At 38.6% G+C, this 23913-nt stretch overlaps 1 protein-coding gene across 1 annotated transcript in view; it reads left to right on the top strand.

Moving 5' to 3' along the window:
- Positions 1-23913, top strand: part of ZFHX3 (zinc finger homeobox 3) — a 1109046-nt gene that overhangs the window by 202186 nt on the left and 882947 nt on the right. The window contains exon 2 of the mRNA NM_001386735.1: positions 9505-9565. The gene's annotated coding sequence lies outside the window, so the exon portion shown is untranslated. The remainder of the gene's footprint in view (positions 1-9504; positions 9566-23913) is intronic.

The raw sequence follows: 23913 nt of genomic DNA, 5'->3' as shown, positions 1-23913 counted from the left end.
TGGTTTCTTAAGAAAATTAATAACCCCAGGAAACTTTCAAAAATTTCATTTATTCCATCTGACTTGTAACATAGAACTGCCTATATGGCCTTCTCATGGACCTGCCATGCTGCACCAACCCTTCCCTCTCTGACTTCACATTCCCTTAGCCCTCCCTCTAAGTCAGGCAGCTGTTTAGATGTGGAATGAGTGGGGGGAGGGGCAAGAGGAAGATGGGAACAGAGGTCTAATTTTTCCCACAGCAAAGGAAGCACCTGAATGGAGCCTGGGCTGCTCCTTCACTTGCTGGATCAGAAAATGTAGCTTTTACAGCCCCTGTCACCCCTCTTTACTTTGTGCACATAGCTCAGGCATGATGCAAAATCAATGACTCCAGGAAGTTCACCTGAGGGACCATGTGGCTACTTCTCTGGGATGTCTTGGATGAATTTAGAAATTTGGGGGCTTCCTAAAACCCCCCTGTCCCCAGAGCATAATGTGAAATCATAGCAGTGTCCCTGATAGTGACATAGAACTTTAGAGGTTTCACGTAACTAGATCTTATTTTGATATTTTGAATTGAAAGACGTACAAGATTATCAAGAGAATTTAAGTTCAATCAGTATCAATCCTTTGGCAAGTATTTATTGGATCATTTAAAATGGGTTGGTTTGCATTAAACCCAGTAAGTTTTGTTTGGCCATTGTGTTTGTTTGGGCTTGTATTAGTCTGTTTTCACGCTGCTGATAAAGACATACCCAAGACCAGGCAATTCACAAAAGAAAGAGGCTTAATGGACTCACAGTTCCACATGGCTGGGGAGGCCTCACAATCATGGTGGAAGGTGAAAGGCACATCTCACTTGGCGGCAGACAAGAGGAGAGAAATGGTGCAGGGAAGCTCCCCTTTATAAAACCATCAGCTCTCATGAGACTTACTCACTGTCATGAGAATAGCATGGGAACGACCCGCCCCCATGATTCAATTATCTCCCACCTGGTCCCTCCCACAACATGTGGGAATTATGGGGGCTGCAATTCAAGATGAGATTTGGGTGGGGACACAGCCAAACCATATCAGGGCTGCTATGAAAAAATACCTTACACTGGGTAACTTCTAATCAACAGAAATGTGTTGCTTACAGTTTTAGGGTCTGGGAAGTCCAAGATCCAGGCACCAGCAGATGCAGTGTCTGTTGAGGGCCTGCTTTCTGCTTCATACAGGGCGCCTTTGCACTGTGTCCTTACATGGTGGGATGGGCAAGGCAGCTCTCTGGGGTCTCTTTTATGAGGGTGCTAATTCCATTCCTGGGGGTGTCCCTCATGACCTAATCACCTCTCAATGGCTCCACCTCTTAATACTTGCATGGGGATTAAATTTCAAGATACAATTTTTTTTTTTTTTTTTTTGAGATGGAGTCTCACTCTGTCACCCAGGCTGGAGTGCAGCAGTGTGATCTCAGCTCACTGCAACCTCTGCCTCCCGGGTTCAAGTGATTCTCCTGCCTCAGCCTCCTGAGTAGCTGAGATTACAGGCATGTGCCACTATGCCTGGTTAATTTTCGTATTTTTAGTAGAGACGGGGTTTCACCATGTTGGCCAGGCTAATCTTGAACTTCTGACCTCAGGTGATCCACCTGCCTCAGCCTCCCAAAGTGCTGGGATTACAGGCATGAGCCACTGTGCCCAGGCTCAAGATGTGAATTTTGGGGAGACACAAACATTCAGACCATAGCAGCCATAATGTCCCATGTCCACTGAAATGTGCCTGCTCTATAGTGAATTTGCGTCTTACGTTGGAAAAAAAATTATTGTCTTAAAGATAAAATTACAAGTATTATGGAAATTTTGGGGTAAAGAGCACAGTGACTGTCAATATTAATAGCTACTAAATCTGTTTTTTTTTTTTTTTTTTTTTTTGAGACAGAGTCTTGCTCTGTCACCAGTTTGGAGTGCAGTGGCACAATCTCGGCTCACTGCAACCTCTGCCTCCTGGGTTCAAGAGATTCTCCTGCCCCAGTCTCCTGAGTAGCTGGGACTACAGGCATGTGCATGTGCCACCATGCCTGGCTAATTTTTGTATTTTTAGCAGAGACGGGGTTTCACTATGTTGGTCAGGATGGTCTCGATCTCTTGACCTCGTGATCCACCTGCCTTGGCCTCCCAAAGTGCTGGGATTACAGATGTGAGCCACCGCACCCGGTCAATAGTTACTAAATCTTAAGAGGATGCTAATGATGGCATTTCCCTTTCTGATGTACACCAACAGAAGATGCACTGTGGGGCCACTTTGTAGCTTAGCTTTTATTTCTCCACATGTAACAACACAGGATAAATTTATCTAGTAATAAATGACCCATCGTTTGGAAACTTTTTTTTTTTTTGAGACAGGGTCTCTCTCTGTCACCCAGGCTGGTGTGCGGTGGTGCTCACTGCAGCCTCCACCTCCCAAGCTCAAGTGATCCTTCCACCTAAGCCTCCCCAGTAGCTGGAACTACAGGTGTGTGCCACCATTCACAGCTAATTTTTGTACTTTTTTTTTTAGAGATGGGGTTTTACCATGTTGCCCAGGCTGGTCTCAAACTCCTGAGCTCAAGCAATCTGCCCACCTCTGCCTCCCATACTGTTGGGATTACAGTTGTAAGCCACTGCAACTGGCCTGGAAATGTTTTAAAATAAAAAATAAGACTTAAAGCTGCAAATATATATATATATATATATATATATATATATATATATATATATATATATATATTTAGCTGCAAATATATATATATTCTCTCTCCTTCTAAATGGTGGTGCTACCGGTTAAGCTCTGTCTCTCTGGAAGGTGTACAAAAAAGGGTTCCATTCTGGCAAGGGTGGTGAATACAGGGTGAACCAAGACCAGTGCACCCCAAACAACTTGGCTGTGTTATGCTCCTTTCCTTTAAGCTTAGTCTGTAAACTTTATAACTCTCCTAGATAAGGTTTCAATCCAGAAACATGTGCTACAAACTGAGTAGCTATTCTAGTGGGTCTCACACAAGTCTAGGCCTGACTGCTTTTATAGTTAGTACAATGGGTTCAGTCTGTTGAGGGGAAACCCTGGAGCCCACCCTTACCAGAGGGAATACAGCCTGCGTGCTTGGATCATGGATAAGAGGCTGAGACAATTATGGACTCATCACTCTGGGCAGCTCCAGAGACCAACCTCTTGACTTCTCTGAGCATGAGTTTCCTTAACATTCAGAGAACATGCAAGAATTCCCGAAGGGTCAGTTGAGTTTTTTCATGACTATAGGTCCAAGTTTTGCAAAACGTGTTATGCAAGACACCCAACTCATGATACTTCAGGAAAAAGAAAAGCACTCATAGTTAGAAATGTCTGAATATGACCAGGCGTGGTGGCTCACGCCTTATCCCAGCACTTTGGGAGGCCGAGGTGGGTGGATCACGAGGTCTGGAATTCAAGACCAGCCTGAACAATATGGTGAAACCCTGTCTCTACTAAAAATACAAAAAATTAGCCAGGTGTGGTGGTGGGCACCTGTAATCCCAGCTACTCAGGAGGCTGAGGCAGGGAACTGCTTGAACCCGGGAGGTGGAGGTTGTAGTGAGCCGAGATCACGCCACTGCACTCCAGCCTGGGCAACAGTGAGACTCAATCTCAAATAAATAAATAAATAAATAAATAAGAAATGTCTGAATATACTATTACCCTCTTGGAAATTCACATAAGCATGTTGAAGATTCGGAGAAGTTCAACATAAAGACAACTGTTTAATTTTGCTTAAGCCTTTTCCTACACATACATGAACACATTTCTTTTTCTCCTGAAACAGAATAACATCCCACACTTCCGAGAATGTTGATCTAGATATTCCACATTTTATTCTCACATTAAGCCAGACTCTTAGAGAACAGCCTATCTGGATCTCACATTGTCGGGTGCTCATAAAAGAGCATTTGCTCTTCTGTGATTTGCTGTTTGCTCTCAGCCTGCTCAAGGGTTGTTTTAGGGAAGAGGTACAGGAAACTTGCCATTAGAATCATTGTGGGCATTTTGTTGATTATTACATAATAGGCTCATTATAAAGACCCACAAAGAAATTTCTACTCTATGTTATGAACTGATATAATAGATTCCTATGGTTGCTGATGCATGCTACCGCAAACTTGGTGGCTTAAAACAACACAAATCTATCATCTTACCATTCTGGCTGTCAGAAATCTGAGAAGGGTCTCATTGGGCTACAATAAAGAGGTTGGCAGGGCTGTGATCCTTTCTGGAAGCTGCAAGGGGGAATTCGCCTTCTCACCTTTTCCAGCTTTTAGAGGCTGCCTGTATTCCTTGGCTCATGGCCTGCTTCAGTCTTCAAAGCCAGTAATAACCTGTCTATCTTCATCATGATTCCAACTCTGGTTCTCCCTCTTCTGCCTCCCTCTTACATTTTTAAAAGACCCTTGTGGGCTGAGCGTGGTGGCTCACGCCTGTAATCCCAGCACGTTGGGAGGCTGAGGGGGGCGGATCACGAGGTCAGGAGATCAAGACCATCTGGGCCAACACGGTGAAACCCTGTCTCTAGCAAAATACAAGAAAATTAGCCAGGGGCGTGGTGGCATGCAACTGTAGTCCCAGCTACTCGGGAGGCTGAGGCAAGGGAATCACTTGAACCTGGAAGGCAGAGGTTGCAGTGAGCCGAGGTTGGGCCACTGGACTCCAGCCTGGCGACAGAGTGAGACTCTGTCTCAAAAAAAATAATAATAAATAAAATGACCCTTGTTGGGCCTGGCACAGTGGCTCACGCCTGTAATCCCAGCACTTTGGGAGGCTGAGGTGGGCGGATCATGAGGTCAGGAGTTCAAGACCAGCCTGACCAACATAGTGAAATCCTGTCTCTACTAAAAAGACAAAAATTAGCCAGGTGTGGTGGTGCGTGCCTGTAATCCCAGCTACTCAGGAGGCTGAAGCAGGAGAATTGCTTGAACCCAGGAGGTGGAGGTTGTAGTAAGCTGAGATCATGCCACTGCACTTCAGCCTGGGTGACAGAGCAAGACTCCATCTCCAAAAAAAAAAAAAAAAAAAAAAGGACCCTTGTGATTGCAGGGGCACATGCAGATAATCTGGGATAATCTCTTTATTTTGAGGTCAGCTGATTTGCAATCTTAATTCCATCTGCAACCTTAAATCCTCTTTGCCATGTAACCCAACATATTTGTGGGTTTTGAGCAGTAGGATATGGGTATGTTTGGGAAGCCATTATTCTACCTACCTTAATCCAATATGCACATTCCTCTTTTTGATTTGGCTTCTAGGATGCTCAGAGTTATCTAGCAATTGTACAGGACTTCATCTTATTTTTTTATCCCAATTTTCCTTTATTTCCTATAGTCTAATTCGCTCCTAAAGTTCATGTCATTACACACATACACACACACACACACACAAACACACACACATGCCATATCAAAATATAATCAAAGTAATCATATTAATAATGGACCCCTAGAGCAGGAATTGGAAAACTACAATGCATAGATTAAGTCTGGATTCCCTTGACCTCCTGGGCTCAAGAGATCCTCTTATCTTAGCCTCTCGAGTAGCTGGGACTACAGGTACCCACCACCTCACTCAGCTACTTTTTAAGTTATGTGTAGAGACAGGGTCTTGCTACGCTGCCCAGGCTAGTGTCAAGCTCCTGGGCTCAAGCTGTCCTCTGGCCTTGGCTTCCCAAAGTACTGGGATTATGAGCATGAGCCACTGTGCCTGGCAATGTTTTTGTAAATAAAGTTTTATTGGAACACAGCTACTGCTTTCCTTCTACAAGCACAGAGTTGAGTAGTTTGGCACAGACTGTATATGTGGCCCACAAACAAGAAATATTACTACATGGCCCTTTACAGAAGAAGTTTATGACCCTTCTCTGAACAACAAATAACATTCTATTATACTATTCTGTGGATTTCCTTACTGTGTATCTCATTCATTTCTAGAACAATGAGAATCCAGAGTTGCACTCAGTTTCAACTCTGAGGCTTAATGGCTGCTGCTGTCTTTTGCTGCAAAGGGAGATGATGGGTCACCTAAAATCCCTGAAACATGTAATCCCCGCTACTCAGGAGGCTGAGGCAGGAGAATCACTTGAGTCCAGGAGGCAGAGGTTGCAGTGAGCCGAGATCACACCATTGCACTCCAGCCTTGGCAACAAGAGAGAAACTCTGTCTTAAAAAAAAAAATCCCAAAACATGTCGCATGGTTAGGTCTTTTGTCACTTTTAGGTTTTGGCTTTTATAGAGGGTTGGAAAATTATCCAGGGGATTTGAGACAGTGTGGACCTAATCACAGTCACTTAAAATACAATGTTTATTAAGACAGACTATGTCTACATATTTATAAAAGGTTATCTCGTGGCTTAAGGCTCTGATTAATTTTATTTATCAGTAGTTACCAACCTGACTGCCCCCTCCTCTGGCCAACACACATACACCCTGCTCTCTTTCACTCAACCTCTAAATCTCAGAGGGAAGTGAACGGGCTTTGAGCTAGTCTACTATTTCACAAGACTTGTGGTAGTTGTACATTCACCCATTATATACATCGCTGATGGTTTTTAAATAGAACTACATTTTAACAAACACCATTTCTTTACTAGACAAAAGTATAATAAAAGGCATGTGTAAGAGTAAAAATGTTGGAAATATCTGATGTATAGTCTATCTTCAAAAATCATGCAATTGTTATTTCCTTCCTTCTCCCTCCCTCCCTCCTTTCTCTTTCTTTCTTTCTTTCTTTTCTTTCTTTCTTTCTTTCTTTCTTTCTTTCTTTCTTTCTTTCTTTCTTTCTTTCTTTCTTTCTTTCTCTTTCTCTCTTTCTTTCTCTTTCTTTCTTTCTTTCTTTCTTTCTTTCTTTCTTTCTTTCTTTCTTTCTTTCTCTTTCTTTTTTTCTCTCTCTCTCTCCTTTTCTCTTTCTCTCTTTCTTTCTTTCTTTCTTTCTTTTGAAATGAAGTTTCACTCTTGTTGCCCAGGCTGGAGTGCAGTGGTGGGATCTCAGCTCACTGCAACCTCCACCTCCTGGGTTCAGGTGATTCTCCTGCCTCAGCCTCCCGAGTAGCTGGGATTACAGGTGCATGCCACCATGACCGGCTCATTTTTTGTATTTTTAGTAGAGACGGGGTTTCACCATGTTGGCCAGGCTGGTCTCAAACTCTTGACCTCAGGTGATCCACCCACCTCGGCTTCCGAAACTGCTGGGATTACAGGCGTGAGCCACCGCACCCGGCCTACCTTTCTTTTAGATCAGTGTGCAATAGATGCATTATGGTTTGTCTAGATGGTGACATTCTTGACCATTTCAAGGGACGTGGATTTGAATTTTCTTCTTACTTCATTTTGAGTAATCTTTCTCCAAAACAACATTCCCATGTGCCTTATGATTAAAACCCCTAATTTTTATATAAGAAAATGTATTTTATTGTCAAAATATATATAATTTTAATAGAATAAATACAAAGATTTCAGGATAATGATAATTGAGCATGGCAAACTACATTTATTTTGAATTAATTAGTAGAGTGGCACTCTGCTAAACAATTTCCAAATATTACCTTATTTTATCCTCATAAGAGCAATGGCAAATGATTTTCAAAGCCAGATTGCCTGACTTCAGAGCCTAAGTTCTAAATAAGTACACTACTGCTTTGCTGTGGCAGTTTTCTGTATGTAATATCAGCCTTTATTTGTTAAGCATCCATTATGCGTCAGACATTCCGTTAAGGGCTTTATGTACGTGAGCTCACTTGATCCTCATAGCTAGATAGGTATATATCATTATCCCTATTTATTAGATACCCTCTTTGGGGAATCGTATTTATTGGAAATTTAAAATTGATGATTACAAATAGAGGAAGTCACTAATACATAGATATGATTACATTTTCTAAGCAGGGGCTTATCTTAGGAAGAAATGCAAGCCTACCCTTCCATTGTTATAGTTTTCAGATTTTCTAGCAACAATGCATATGCTTACAAAATACTGTAAAAACCATAATTTTGAATGCAGTTTGCACATGGAAGCACAGGATATTAAGTCCGGAGAACAGGATCAGGTGCCTGTCTTTGGGCAACTCCTATCTTAGGGAATGTATGTTAGATGATCCTAAGCCTTGCCAGACTTAGCCGTTAGCAAGGTGCTTCCCTTGCTAGAATGGCTTAGAAACGCTAACCAGAAGCCCAAACCTCAACGTGCTCTAGACTCATGACTATTCGAATGAAATTTCATTCTTTATCTCTCGGCTTTCTCCCCATTTTGGATTAGCCCTGCCCTTTCTCATCGTAATCTTCCCATGTTTCCGATAACTATAATTTTAATAAGAATTCTTTTAAGGTTCACCTTTTACTTTCAAAATTTACTCTATGCCTGCTGCATTCACTTGGAGAGACACTTCTGCCTTCGCTTTGGACGATCATTCTTAAATCTGGCTTGTAGAGTAACCAGTAATTGGATCAATCACTATTTATCACTCTTCTAAAAACAATTGTCACCTATTAAAATGCCTTTCTCTCCCATGTTGCCTTAATTTGTTTAGCCATTATAGTCTGGAAATAATAGCAAGATGCTTATGCATGCAACCATCTTCTGTCATTTTTGACCACCTCAACTTTCACTTTTTTACTTAAATAATAAATAATAGGTTATTCTCTCCCACAAGACCAGACATCCACTGAGAGGTGGTCTAACATTGTATAAAATAACTAAAATCTTTCTAATCAGTTTGTGCTGGTGCTATTCTTGCTAGATTTCTGGACTTTTAATTTCTTCCTTGGCATTCAGGCTTTGCATATAGTATCTTTCCCGTATACTCTGTGTGATCCTGCTCACTGGAAGCTAGTAATTATATATGAATAATGGTTTCCACACAATATCTAAGGCACTTACCCCACTCACACGCACAGATGAAGCAAAGGTACAATTAAATCCAAATCATTTGCCAAAAAGATATAGTTTAAGATTCACCATTTTTATATAAAACTTTCATATTAGGATAAGACGAATTCCATGATATACACCCACCATTCAGTTTCATCCTCAACTTAGGACCTCTGTCTAATTATTTTGGGAGAAATTTCCTGTCACTTTCTTTGTACCTTTCCCAGATGCAGACTGATGAGAAAATCCCAAATTCCTTTCAGTCATTTCCTAAATAGTGTTTAGTGATAAATTAAAATGTAACCGGTTAATATTAAAAATGTATTGGTTAATGTGAAATGGTTTTCCATTGCCATCTTCTACCACTTTCTTGGAAGGGGAGAGCACAGGCTTTCTTTGCAATTGGAAACAGTGCTTCTGTTTTGAGATGAGCTGAAACAGTCAACATTCATTCGAGCCGTGACCTCCATGGCTTTGAACATTTTTTAGCAACTTTCCACTCAGAATGTGCCTTATTTTTAGCCAAGCACACACGTTACCATTTTCAATTGCCTTTGATCATTTTGATTGATATTTTTCTAGATCTTTTCCTTAAACTTTTTTTTTTCATATTTACAGGCTTCTGGACTTTTTGAATTCTGAAACCAAAAGAAGAATAAGTCGAAGAAATTTTACTTTGGTATGTAGAAGCGTTCCAATTTGTTTGGTCTAAAAGTTATCCATGGACTTTTCTTCAGAGTGCTCTGTTTCATTCGATGTAGTTAAAGGTTGATTTCAGGTAATTTCTGAGATGTGATGATTTGGAAAATGTAGCACATAAAAATGAGGAACTTACGCGTTAATGGCTTTACTTTCAAAATGCCTATGTATCTTTCTGGCATGAATTTGACTTGGCTCATCACAGCTCTGATATCCTCTGCACATTGAGGTGTTGTCGTTACTACTTAATATTTGGTCTGGAAAAAATGAATCCTGTTGCTAAAGATTTTGTTGGTGGGTAGTCCACAGCAGAACGATTGCTACGGGAGGTGCTGGCTGTGTAAGTCATGAGCTTTGATAATTTCAGTGCTTAATGTACAGCTGCTGGTCTTGGTAAAGTACCACATGATGGCTCATAGTTGCATTCCTAGTTGAAACTCAGCACAACTCTGGATTCTGATTGTTCTACAAATGAATGAGATACAATAGTAAGGAAATCCACAGAATAGTAAAATAGAATGTTGTTTGTTGGAATTCATTTCTGTGGCTGTAGGTAGAAGACGATATGGCAAATTCACTCACCAGAAAATTGTACTATGAGTTTTTTGTTTTTGTTTTTGTTTTACATAAGAGAAAAGAAGGTAAAAAAAAGAGAAGAGTTTGAATGTCAAGTTTTGTTGGACGCAGAACCAAGTTACCATTTGCTGTTCCGGAGCCTCTTTGCTGTCCCCATAGGAAGAAAGTGTTCACAAAATGCTTTTAATCCTAGGAGCATTCCGTTGTCTAGCAAAAACATCTTTCTCACTGGCCTGAAATATACAAGGCATATTTTTGTATGGCCATAGAAATATACTTTTCAATGCTCTGATTTGAAAATGGCGACATTGTTAAAAAAGAGCAGGGACTTGGGTACAGTGGTGAATGCATGAGACGTTCATTTTGATGAAGTGTTGAGTAGACTAGATGCTTGGTATCAAATGCCTTGATAAAATATTTTGGAAATGAGAGCTGGTTTCCATTAAAAAAAAAAATAAGCCCCTCTGGAGGGATTGACTTATGACTTTCACCATTTTGTTTTCATTTACTTCAAGTAGTTTTTAAAATTAAGTATACCTATGAGCACGAGCCAGGCTTGGACTATAGATTTTCAGAAGTCGATGTGCTTGACCCTAGATATTTGATCCCTGTTGGTGATTCTTGGTCATCTGGTGTTGTGATCCTCGTTAGCAGAACCGCATCTGCATAGATAGCACTTTGATGCACATCAGAGCCCAAAACACTTGAATTTTCCAACAACGAGAACATCGGGTGTTTCTCTTGGTGTGTGCTAATGGTATGGACTGATTTTGCAGAATCACTGAAGCAAGCTGTAAATGATGTATGAAATGAAAAACTCCTGTCCAGTGCACAGAGCGAATATATACAGTTCTGTGTAATCACTGTGGTGCTGGGCTATTTGTTTTAATATTTCCTTCAGACATATAGCAGTTTTTTTGGTGAGTCATATCCAGACACTTGCCATTGGCACATAGCTCAGGTTTCTGTTACATATATTTTAAATAAATTTCAATGTTGTATAAGTGTACTTGAATTAATGCAATACCAGATTTTAGAAGACTTGACCTTTATAAAATAGTATTTTTATGAAAACAATATCAACATTTTTGTTCTGAAAAATTTGGAAAATACTGAAGAGCCTAAGTAGCAAAATTGGAAATCATTTTATGCCATTATGGAGAAATAGCCATTGTTTACATTTTGTATATATTCTTTAAGGTATTTTTACCCACTGTAATTAGAATATACTCTTTGAAAAAATTATCCGATGCACTTCTTTTACACTTTCATTCCCAATAACCAATAGGGCTTGAACATCTCCCAATGGTCTTCTACAGTGTGACTTTTACTCACTGCATGCTGTTCACACATGCGTGTAACACAGAAAAGTTTTACTCATTCCTGTTATCGAAAAATGAACATTTAGTTTTTTTCTGATTTTGCTAATATAAATAATTTCCTGTATCACTACTGTAATGTTTATGTGATTTCAGTAATTTTGGTGTATATTTGGTAATGCCAAACTTGTCTCTGTTCTTCTCTTACAAAATTTTCTTTACTTTTGCATTTGTTTTTCCCTGTTGGGTTTTGACAATGACTGGATTATATTTATAAATTATTGGAGTAGACTGGTATCTGTGTAATATTGAGTCATTCCATTGGAGGACATAGAGTGTCTCTATTTATGGGTAAATTTTCTAACATGAATTCATCCTTATGTACCAGAAATAAACCTCCCTAAGTCACAAGAGTATTTTATTTAGGGTTTCTGCATATTATATACTAGTATAATTATTTTTTTGTGCCATCTTTGTTTAGGAGGAGAAGTTGTTTGAAGCCTCTAATTTTCTTTCAAGATTAATTGACCTGTTCAGGTTGTTTTCTATTTCTATTTGAATCAAGTTTGATGATTTATATTTTCCTGTTGAAATATCAGTTCATTTAAATTTATTTTTATAGATGCAAACAAAATATTGTTATAGTTAAAATAATTCTAGAAATCTATTGTTAAATCACTTTTCTTATTCTTAATATATCTTTTTTTGTGATTAGCTATGCCAAAGGTAGTGTGGAAGAGCCAGGTCTAAAGTTTACTATTTCCAGTTGTTCTGTTTTCCTACTAGCTTTTAAAGTTGCATGCTTAGTTAATTCATTTTTTGTTGTTGTTGTTGTTTATTAATAAAAATATTTAAAACTATGAACTTTGCTATGATTTTTAGCTTAGCTGCATCATATAACTTTTGCTGTTATATTCTTACTTTATCCATTGTTTAATAACCTAAAGTGATATTCTGATAGCCTCTAAGATCCAAAATTCTTTTATAAGAGTAATTTTAAATTTTAAAGTGGTTGATTTTATGACATCATGTTATTATTAATTTACAGTTTTATTTAATTGCCTCCTAAAATATACCTGTGATGATTTTTACTTAAATTTTGTTGACATATTTTGGGGATAGTATGTATAAACATCTTTGGAAAAGAATCCATGGTCACTGGAAATGAAGGCTATTTTCCTTAAGATAGAGAATTAACTAATTATAAAGCTCCACTGTATCCTTTGGTCTTCTTTGACCAACTGTGAGGAATGTTAAAGTCCTTTATGAAGTTGGTCTTACTATTCTTTAACTTTTACTTCTAGAGATATTCTCATTCTGAGAGTCAGTGTTGCGTTATTTGACACATGAATATTGCATATTTGTGTTGAATTGTATTCCCTTAATATAAAGTCTGTCTTTGCCCACTTCTTGTGTTTTGCCTTGCATTTTTATTTCTCTAATACTAATATTAAAACTCTTTTTTTTATTTGTATCTCTTTAGTGTATGTTCACTCGTCTTTTTACTCATCCTTTCTGTACTTGTTTGTCTTAGGTGTATTTCTTCTAATTGATACATAATTGGATTTGGTGTTGTGACTCAGTCTTCTAGTCTTTGTCTTCTCACAGGGAAATTTAAGCCATTTACGTACATTGTTATAAATAAAATATTAGCCTTATTGCTTTCTTTATATTTTCTTTTTGATTCTCTGGGTGTCTTTTATTATTTTTCGTTCTCTGTCTTTGGGCATATAGACTGTATGGTTCTTTGTTAGTATTTTATGAAGTATATGTTGGTATTCAATTTTTTTGGATCTAATTTCTCAAAACCATTATTTAATCTCTATATCTCCAACTGTCAAATTTAAGGGGAAAAAAGTCATTATGTCTTTTATTTAAATGGAAGAGTTTAGCATACTTCTCATCTCCCCCACCCTGCAACATACATTCCATTGCTCTCTCCAGCCCTGTATCTTGGTCTTTGTTTATAACCTCAGGTTTTAGAAAAAGTGTTATTTAATAAAAATCATTAGTCTTAATGCATATGTTTATTTTTCAAAAATAATTTATAGTCAAAAATAATAGAAAACAGTTTATAATTTCTACTTAGCTTTTAAAATTTTTGCTATAATTAGTTATTGTTATGTTTAATTGGTTTCACTGTTCTCGATATGATTCTTATACTTTTTCCTTATTATTTTTGAGTTCTTAGTTATTTTTAAATCTCTTAGTGAGTTTGAGTATGCCTTTAGATAATTTTTCAAGAAAGATGGATGGTTGGTACGTTTTCTGAGTTCACACATTTGTGTGGATTTTTTAAATTCTTTGTTTAGATGTGCAATTCTTGAGTTGTACCATTTCCCCTCAAAATTTTGTAATTTTGTTGTATTAATTTTCATATCTGAGGCAAGGCTGATTTTTTTTTAGATAATTGAAGGCTGTGTCAGTGTGTGTGCATATGTGCGTGCGTGTATGTGTATTGTTTTTTTCTATGCCTAGATATTTGTGAGACTTTATTTTTGTGTAACTCAGAATTTTTGGCCAGATCCAGGTATGAGTTTGCCTTGATAATGGTCATTCTTTTTATCTGTTACATGGAACTTTTTCAGTTGATAAGTATTTTCATCTGTTTTAGCTTAAGTTATTCACTTGGTTCCATTTATCCTATTCTTCTTTTCAGGAACCGCAGTAATCTAAGATGCTAAAACAATAAGTTCTATAAAGGCAGTGAAACTGATAGGGAAATCCTATCAGTTTCATTCACAGCACTTTACTGGGGTATATAGATACAGAGCCCAACACATTCTAGAACCTCAGTAAATCCATTTGTAATGGATAGATGAATGAACAAATGAATGAATGAATGTAAGATAAACCCCATGTCTGATTTTATATGTGTCTTTCTTCACTGATAATTTTTATCTTACATTTTTTTCTTCTATTTAGGGAGGTTTTGGGAAATGAGCTCTCTAATTAACCATAAAACTGAAGGCTAAGATACTGCTTAGAGGGTACTTGGGCTGTGACTCTGCTTCCCTGGTCCCCCTCCCATGCCTTGTGAGAATATGGCTTTAATACTGTCTTTGCTTGAGAACCAGGAAAGTCTCACAAGTCTGAAACATTCCCTCTTAACATATAACTAGTTCAAATTCTTTGCAAGGAATGCTTACTTTCAAGTATAAGGAGGAGGTGTTGGGGCTGGAACTGAGCTCAGACCCAAAGCTTCCTCTTGGGCAGAGTATCACTGACAGCTGGCTTGCTTCTGTGTCCATGAGCTTTACTGCATTACAAACCACCAAATGTAGCAGCTTATAACAGCAATCATTTATTAGGACATGCATGGTGCTGTAGGCCAGTAATTTGGGCTGGGTTCAGCTGGGCAGTTCTTCTGTAAGTCTCACATGTGACATATGTGTCATTCCTGTGGTTATAGTCAGCTGAGAAGTCAACTGGGGCTGTTTTTTTCCTGATAGCCTCCTGCACATGTCTGGTGTTGGAGCCACATATCTGAGGGTTTCTAAAGCAGCAAGATAGGGCAAATGTCAACATATAAGCACTTTTCGAGACTGATTTAGTCACTTGGCTTAGATTCCATTAGTTAAAGGAAGTCACCTGACCAACCCAGATTCAAGAGGTAGAGAAAGAGACTCTAGGTCTTAATTGGAGAAACTGTCATGTCCTATTGCAAGGGCATGGATACAGCAATGGGGCAAATGTGAGGCCATCTTTACAATTCACTGCATTCCCACTAGGGACTCTGAAAACCAAAGGAATTCATGCTGAGTGTTGTCTATTCTTGACTGTGTTGCCCTCTTGGCCAATTAAATTGAAACTTAATCTAAGCTTACACAGTGTGTTTGATCTCTTCCAATTGATTTTTAGTCTTCCTGAAATGTCACACTGTGCACTTTCTACCTTAGCATTCTGTATTTACTGCCTTTAATGTGGATTTGCATTCTGCCCATGCATTTTTGGTTGTGAACAGCCTCTCTTCTCATTCATCTTTCTTTTTTCATTCTGTTACTTTTTTGTATTCTATTTTTTTATAATTTTCTATGCCTTTTATAGTGACGTCTATTTTACACTTTTCTGTATATGAAAACTATTTAAGAATATTCATCACATGCTTATTTTGTGCAAAGCACTGCTTTCATACTAGAAACACAATAGCAAACAAGATTTGGCCCCTTCCTTCGAGGAATTAGAGTTGAGTACATTTTCTGATTTCTTCAAGTATATTTTCAGAGGCAATGATCTGTCTCTGAGTTTGGGAGATGTTTTTGTTTCCTTTTTGTGTAGTAGCCAATCACAGATGCTTTGTTTGGTGTTCGTCACCTGACTTAGGGGTTTGCTCTCATACCTGTCTCCTTGTGTGGTGGTCAGATTTCCTTCCTGGATCTGTATCTGGAGGGTGTATTGATGTGCATACGTTCTAGATCAATTCCTAGTTTTCATGGAGCTTCACTGCCCCTATAGTCTAAATCTCCATTCAGGTGGAATACATAACAAACTCAGGTTCCAGCCTGCCCTGCTGTTATCCCTGTTCTGCCCCAAGTCCAGCTCAGCACTTCAATTTTGAGGCTCTTTTCCAGGCAAATGCCATACCCTCTTCCTCCTTTAATTTTTCTAAGGTTGGTGTTTCTGAATGGATGGCAGGTAACTCAGTAGATATATTTTTGTGGAAAAATAGTCTAGTTTCTCATGAAATAGTTCTTGCCTAATCTTGAGACAGCTGCTAGCTTTTTTATCTCGGGTGGCAGACTGTGAGAGCCCAAGGAATCTCTTACTTCTTGGTGATAGCCTGGGAGGGGGAAGAGAATGAGGTTCCTTTAACAGCAGGATAAATATAAGGCCTTTTCCTATCTTCTCTCTGTGTGTGATTTTATGATTTTGGGGGGACTATTTTTATTAGTAATATTTCATACATATGAAACAAACTATGTCATATATATGTAGGTTACACAGCATAATAATGAAATGAATACCCATAACTTACGACCCAGCTTAAAAGTAGGAAAATTAGCGGGACAGTGGCCTCTACCCGTGTGCCCCTTCCCTATTCTTATCTTGATATCCTCCTCCCCACTTAGAGGGGACCACTATTTTGAATACTGTGTGTTCACTGTTCCCTTGCCTTTTGAAAAACAGTTTTATTTAATATATTAATTTGAACTAAACAATATGTTGTTTAGATCTTTCTAATTTTTGAGTATTATAAAAACTGTGTCACACCAAATGTAGACTGATGGGAGTGACAAATTTTCACTCAATATGATGTTTCCAAGATCCATTTATGTTGTTGCAAGTAATTGTATTTCATTCATTTCCACTGCTGTATAATAGGCCTTTGAGTAAATGTATCATGTTTTTGTAATCTATCAATTAAATTTAAAACAATCTATCTAATAAAAATAATGTCGCTTTGAATATTTGGGTATAGTTCTCCCAGTTTTCATGTGTAAGAATTTCTTTTGGATATACAGATTCCTCATATTCATAAAAGTGTAAAATTATAAATGTATAAAAGTATAAGGTATAAAAAGCATATGCTCTTTCTTCTGATCCTTTTAATGTCCACAAAACCTTAGTGTTGATCCTATGTGCCTTCTCTTTTTATTATTCTCTCATCATGTGTTTTTCAATTTTATTATTCTTTCGAAAAATAATAACTTTTGATTTTTATGATCATTTTTTATGATGCTCAGTTTCTATATTACTAATTTCTGTTCTTTATTATTTGATGTTGGCTCTGAGTTTGGAAGGGTAGGTACAACTTGGCCAATATAAGGCCCAAAAATGCTTAAATATTTGTCAGACATGAAATGTTCTTGAGAGCATTCATCAGAATATAGGAAATGCTGTTGTAATGGCGTTTTTGAAGTAGTTAGTCCTATTGGGTCCCCTGGAGTTCAGAAATGGTAACACGGAAGTCTTCAAATCTTCAGATCATTTGATTTCATTTAAGGGTTAATATTGGTGATATATTTTGGTTTTGTATATCTTGCCTTGTTCCCAGAACGATCTTGTTCCTTTCTCTTTTCCTGGTTGTTGATGAAATCTGATTCTGAGATGGGAATATGCTTCCTAGGGGTGTCAGAGTAAAGATTATATAATAGATGGTGTTTTTCTAATTGATTTGATCTGCTATCTGAATCTGTCTTATATACACTACTCTGTCCTTAAACTATCATTGATTTTTATTTGCTTTGGTTACCTGTGTTTCCTTTTATGTATTTTTTTTCCCCTCAGATCTGTCCCTCATTCTTGGGTAGTGTCAATTTTCTTTGCCTGGTATTTCTGTTTTTGAAAAAAAAAAGCAGAAAGATGACACTCTTCAATGGGCCATTTAGCTGAAGATTGGCAAGTGAGACATGCTTTTTCTATATGTATAATGAGAGAGATGTATATAGGTTAATGTATGTATTTATAGAGAGGAATATTACAGCTATTTTATGATATTTAAAACTAAATGCCACAGTTGTATTTTTTCCTAAGTAAGTCTAAACTCCCCTTCAAGGAAAGCCAGGAAAAGTAGTAATTTGGAACTAGTTGGCTTAACTTAAAAAGCTCCCCTGTGACATCGGAGTGTGTTTCATGCAATTGCTTTCTTAGACTTCCTCATTAAAATATTGACTACTCCTTTTCTTCAGTAAATGCTAATCCCAGCTCCCATGTACATGTATTTACATTTCACTGCAGGCACCCTGCCAGGTTAGAAATAAAACCAATTTGTTAATATCACTATTTCCTTTTCAGCAAAGAAAATATGCATTAAATTAAAGGTTTTCTAAAAATAATCAGAAAAGGCTCCTGTTGGTACCAACCATGTATTTGTCTCTCTGGCTGAGGTGGTGATGGTTCATCTTTATCTGCCTGTGTTTCTCTGCTCATCTCAGCTCCGGCCGTCTCTTTGCAGAGCTCTGGATTCTCGAAGGCCACTGATGCTGGCTTTGCTCCGCTTTCCTCCCTGTTTCCGTTGCTGTTCTTTCGCTGGTCCCTGCCAGCACCCATCCAAGGATGCAAATCACTATTTTTAAAAGAATGTGAGCAAATGTGGTTAATCCTGGTCAATAACACGCTGCTGTGCTGGAGTATTCTCCCCAGAAGTCTTGGAAATCTGCGAACTGCAAAAGGGTTCCCATTTGATTTATGATTCATAAGTGGATCAGTGTTATTAAAATCCACAGGAGTCCTTTGTTCGTGTAGTCATTGTGAGGACCACCCATCATGCACTTCCATACACTGTTTTGAAAAAGAACATCCTCCTGGAGCCCATAGCTGTTTCTTAAATAATCCTTCTGGAGAAACCAACTAATTATGCAACTGAACATTAAGTCATATTAGTAACTGTAGAATGTTTGTGCACATCGGGTTATCTAAACTTGCAAACTTCAAGTGAATTTTCAATAAAAGCTAACCTTATTAGCATACTTTGCCTGGCTGGATGCTACTCTTTACTTTGTTGAATATTTCATTTATAAAATGGATTGATTGATATTTACCATTATTCCCATAATCCTTAAGGAAAAAAGAGTCATTTGCAAATGTCACAGTATAGTTTGGTGCTGGGAGAAGTAAAATCTAGCATCTAAAAATTTGGTGCATATGTTTTGTTAGTTTTTCCTGTTTTTACTCCTTATTTCATTACGTTTTCCCTATTGTTTTTTCCTGCAGTCAAATAATGGTCTTTGCTCTACCAAGGTTAGAAGACCAAGGTCTTACTGATAATCTTCATGCTACATTTCTACTTTTGGGAAAACGCTAAAGACAAAAAGATTAAGCTTAAAGTAGTCGATTGATGACTTTTCTTCTAATTTTGTCTTAACTGGATTTCAGATTTGGAGCTCTGAGTGTTTTACTGCAAATAATCCATATTGGCCAACAAAGTTAGGAACTGCTTCCCTCCTGAGCCATTTCGTCTTTTATAATTTTATCCCATTTTACTCCTATTCCTTGTGAATGGAGGTGTTGGCCTCTCTCTTGCATCATTATTTTCAGATTTTAGATTGGCGTGGTATCATACACTTTCTAAATTCTGTAAAAACTTGGGCTGGATGCAAACCAACAATGTAAAGATCTTTCTGCTGTAGTCTTTGGTCCTGGAAGTGGTCAGCATTGAGATACTTCTCAGGAAAACATATTTAGCAGTGCAGTGTTGGTCTGCGAGGGAAACCACCTTATCCAGCTGGTAAGCAATTTATGCCCTGAAGCATGAAGATTTCATAGCCCTTGTAATTTTATCCTTCCTGGTGTCGCTGCAGGTGCTATTTTTATTCATATAAATGTTTAATCTTCGATAAAACTTATTAAGCTGTTGGCCTCAATCATATTTTTTGGCAGTGAGTTCCCTAGGTTAAAGGGACACAGTCAAGTACAACAGCTTAGCTCAAGATCAGTTTTAAATAAAGGTATAAAAGGTGATTTTCTGAGATTTAAAAAAAATACCCCAGCAAAGCTGTTTGGGGTTTGACTAGGACATTTCCCAATAATGCTGCCACGGTCTCAGTAGCACTGAGCTGGCATCTGAGAGACCAGGAAACAAGCTTAGTTGAAACTAAAGTGAAAGCAGTTTCTGTACATCCTAGAGCTAGTGAAAAGAAAAAGCAGGCAAAGCCTCTATAAAGAGTGTTCTTCACTTTCATGGCCTCCAGGTCTTCATGTTCAGATTTTTGCATGACTTTTAATTCACAGAAATAGTTCTGCCTATTAGATTTTCCTAACCCTTTTCAGGTGGTTGGCTTCTTTTCATGGATACCCCTTTTTATCTTAAAAACTTACAAGCTTCCCTGAGTCTTTTGGTCACACAGGAGCACCAGCCAGGAATATATGGTGGTGTGTTCTACTTCCCTTTAGAAGGTCATCTAGAGATCACGTGGGAGTTTCTCCAGTTGAATTCAGTTAAACCAGATCCACATTAGAAAATACAAAGATCAGCTGGGCATGGTGGCTCACGCCTGTAATCCCAGCACTTTGGGAGGCCAAGGCGGGTGGATTACCTGAGGTCAGGAGTTTGAGACAAGCCTGGCCAACATGGTGAAACCCCATCTCTACTAAAAATACAAAAATTAGCAGGGCGTAGTGGCACATGCCTGTAATCCCAGCTACATGCAAGGCTGAGACAGGAGAATTGCTTGAGCCCGGGAGGCAGTGGTTGCAGTGAGCCCAGATCGCACCACTGCACTCCAGCCTGGCCGACAGAGCTTAAAAAAAAATAGAAAATAGAAAAGAAAAAAAATAATAAATAGAAAAAAAAATAGAAAAGAAAAAGAAAGAAACAAAAGAAAATACAAAGATCACACTGTCTTCCACAATGGTTGAACTAATTTATACTCCACCAACAGTTTAAAAGTATTCCTATTTCTCCATATCCTCTCCAGCATCTGTTGTTTCCTGACTTTTTAATAATTGCCATTCTAACTGGCATGAGATGTGGTTTTGATTTACATTTCTCTAACGACCAGTGATGATGAGCTTTTCTTCATATGTTTGTTGGCTGCATAAGCGTCTTCTTTTGAGAAGTGTCTGTTCATATCCTTTGCCCACTTTTTGATGGGGTTGTTTTTTTCTTGTAAATTTGTTTAAGTTCTTTGTAGATGCTGGATATTAGCCCTTTGTCAGATGGATAGATTGCAAAAAAAAAAAAAAGGATGAGTTTATGTCCTTTGGAGGGACATGGATGATGCTGGAAACCATCATTCTCAGCAAACTAACACAAGAACAGAAAACCAAACACCACATGTTCTCACTTATAAGTGGCATTTGAGCAATGAGAACACATAGACACAGGGAGGGGAATATCACACGCTGGGGTCTGTCAGTGGGTGGGGGGCTAGGTGAGGGATAGCATTAGGAGAAATACCTAATGTCGATGATGGGTTGATGGGTGCAACCAACCACCATGGCCCATGTATACCTATGTAACAAACCTGCACGTTCTGCACATGTATCCCAGAACTTAAAGTATAATTAAAAAAAAAAAGAAAATACAAAGATCAGCAGCTTGAGGTATGTGCATTTACTGTCTAGGTAGACATGAATGAACTCTAGAGTTGTACATTTCTTTGTCTTCCTGGATACTTACAATGGCTAGTACATTTCCCTTTCTCTTGACCATGATAGACACTTGTGCCGAAAAATAGTCTGGCACACATAGATCTGCACTGGCTTAGAGGGTGGTCCAGATGAGTCCCTTCTCTTGGCAAGCTTCGTAGAGGTGACTTATCATTTTCAAGAAGGAAACATGAATATGTTAATATGTGTTATAAATAGAACACAAGCCATTGCATATGTAATGAAGCTTTAAATGAGGAATTGTAAGTGCTGTAGGAATTCAAAGAAATTGCTAATTGGCCAGAATGCTCAAGAGAAGGTGGCACTTGAACTGGTTCTTCAGGAAACCTGCGATTTGGACAAGGGAAGTGGAAGTGAGGGAAGATGAGATGGTGCAAGTCAAGCAAGGCTACCGTCCAATAATGGCAAAACTTCAGTGCAGTAGGTTTTGTGGCTTCTCCAGTAAGTTCCCACCTTAATCTCAAAATGAGATTATGTGTTGGTTCAGTCTATATTATGTGCAACTAAATTTAGTGCTAAACTTTTACTGATTGTTATCCTTCCTGTTGGTATAGTTCTTTTAAATGTTCTCATAGCTCCAAATATTAGGGACCAGTATCTTCTTGAGCATTTTTAACTCATTCTTACTTAGCAGGTCTTTATCTTGTGGCAAATAAGCAACTAAACTGTCATACATGCTGGTGGAATACAAAATGGTACAACCACTTTGGAAAAACAGTTTAGTAGTTCTTAAAAATAAACTGAAACATATATGTATCATTTGATCCAGCCAACCTACTCCTAGGGATTTTCCCAAGAGAAATAAAAACTTATGTTCACACAAAAGCGTATGTTAACATTTACAGTGGCTTTACTCATAATCGCCAAAACCTGGAAACCGTCCAGGTGTCCTTCAACTAGTGAATGGATAAATAGTTGCATATCCAGCTGGGTGTGGTGGCTCACGCCTGTAATCACAGCCCTTTGGGAGGCTGAGGCGGGTGGATCACAAGGTCAAGAGTTCGAGACCAGTCTGGGCAACATGGCAAAATCCCATCTCTACTAAAAATACAAAAATTAGCCGGGCGTGGTGGCGGGCACCTGTAATCCCAGCTACTTGGGAGGCTGAGGCAGGAGAATCGCTTGAACCCGAGAGGTGGAGGTTGTAGTGAGCCGAGATGGTGCCACTGCACTCTAGCCTGGGTGACGGAGTGAGACTCCCGTCTCAAAAACAAATAAATAAATAAGTTGTATATCTGTACAATGGAATATTACTCAGCAATAACAAGAATGAACTACTGATAAACTCAATAACGTGGATGAATCCCATAGGCATTGTGTTAAGTGAAAGAAGCCAGACTCAAACATCTCCATGCTGCAGATTCCATTTCATTGCATTCTGGAAAAAGCAAAACCAGGTAAAGAGAACAGATCAGTCGTTGCTAAGGGCAGGACAGGGCAGATGGATTGACTTGAGAGTACAAGGGGATTTGGGAGGAGTGATGGAACTTTTCAGTATCTCGGTTGTAGTGGTGGTGGCATGACTGTGCATTTGACAAAATTCATACACCCGTACACTAAAAAGAGTGAATTTTATTTCATGTAAATTATACTTCAGCAAGTGTGACTATAAAGAGAAGGGTCCAGCAGTCTGAGATTCACAGATCTGACGTGATGTCCTCACATTTCCTGTAGTAGAAACTTCAAGGCTTCATATGGGAGCATTTTCTGTCTCAGGAGGTTTTGTTCAGAAACTTTCCATCATCCCTTCAAGGAATCTTTAAAACTCCCTTAGTATTTTTGTGGAGATGGCCAAAGACCTTATATTTGATAATAAGAGCTCTCTGAAACACAAACATTTTGTATATGAAAAAAGCAGCACAATTTTAGAAGGTTTAATTATTTCATATTGGAACAGGTAACTCTTTTGAGACATGAATATGACATGATGTGATCCCATGTAACTTCTCTGCTATGTGAGTGATGGATCTACTGGCTTTATAGGACATGGAGATTTAAATCCTTTAAACCAATCTGTATGTCCATTTTTCCATATCCGATCAAACTCTCCAGCCCACAAACTGCCACTCAGGTCGCTTAAAAGTTATTGAAGAAAAGGCAGCTGGGTGCGGTGGCTCACGCCTGTAACCCCAGCACTTTGGGAGGCTGAGGTGGGTGGATCGCAAGGTCAGGAGATCGAGACCATACTGGCTAACACGGTGAAATCCTGTCTCTACTAAAAATACAAAAAAATTAGCCGGGCGTGGTGGTGGTCTCCTGTAGTCCCAGTTACTCATGAAGTTGAGGCAGAAGAATGGCATGAACCCGGGAGGCAGACCTTGCAGTGAGCCTGGGCGACAGAGTGAGACTCCACCTGGGTGACAGAGCAAGACTCTGCCTTAAA

The sequence above is a fragment of the Homo sapiens genome, chromosome 16 (assembly GCF_000001405.40).
Source record: "Homo sapiens chromosome 16, GRCh38.p14 Primary Assembly".
NCBI lineage: Eukaryota > Metazoa > Chordata > Mammalia > Primates > Hominidae > Homo > Homo sapiens.
This window is presented reverse-complemented; position numbering and strand designations above follow the sequence as displayed.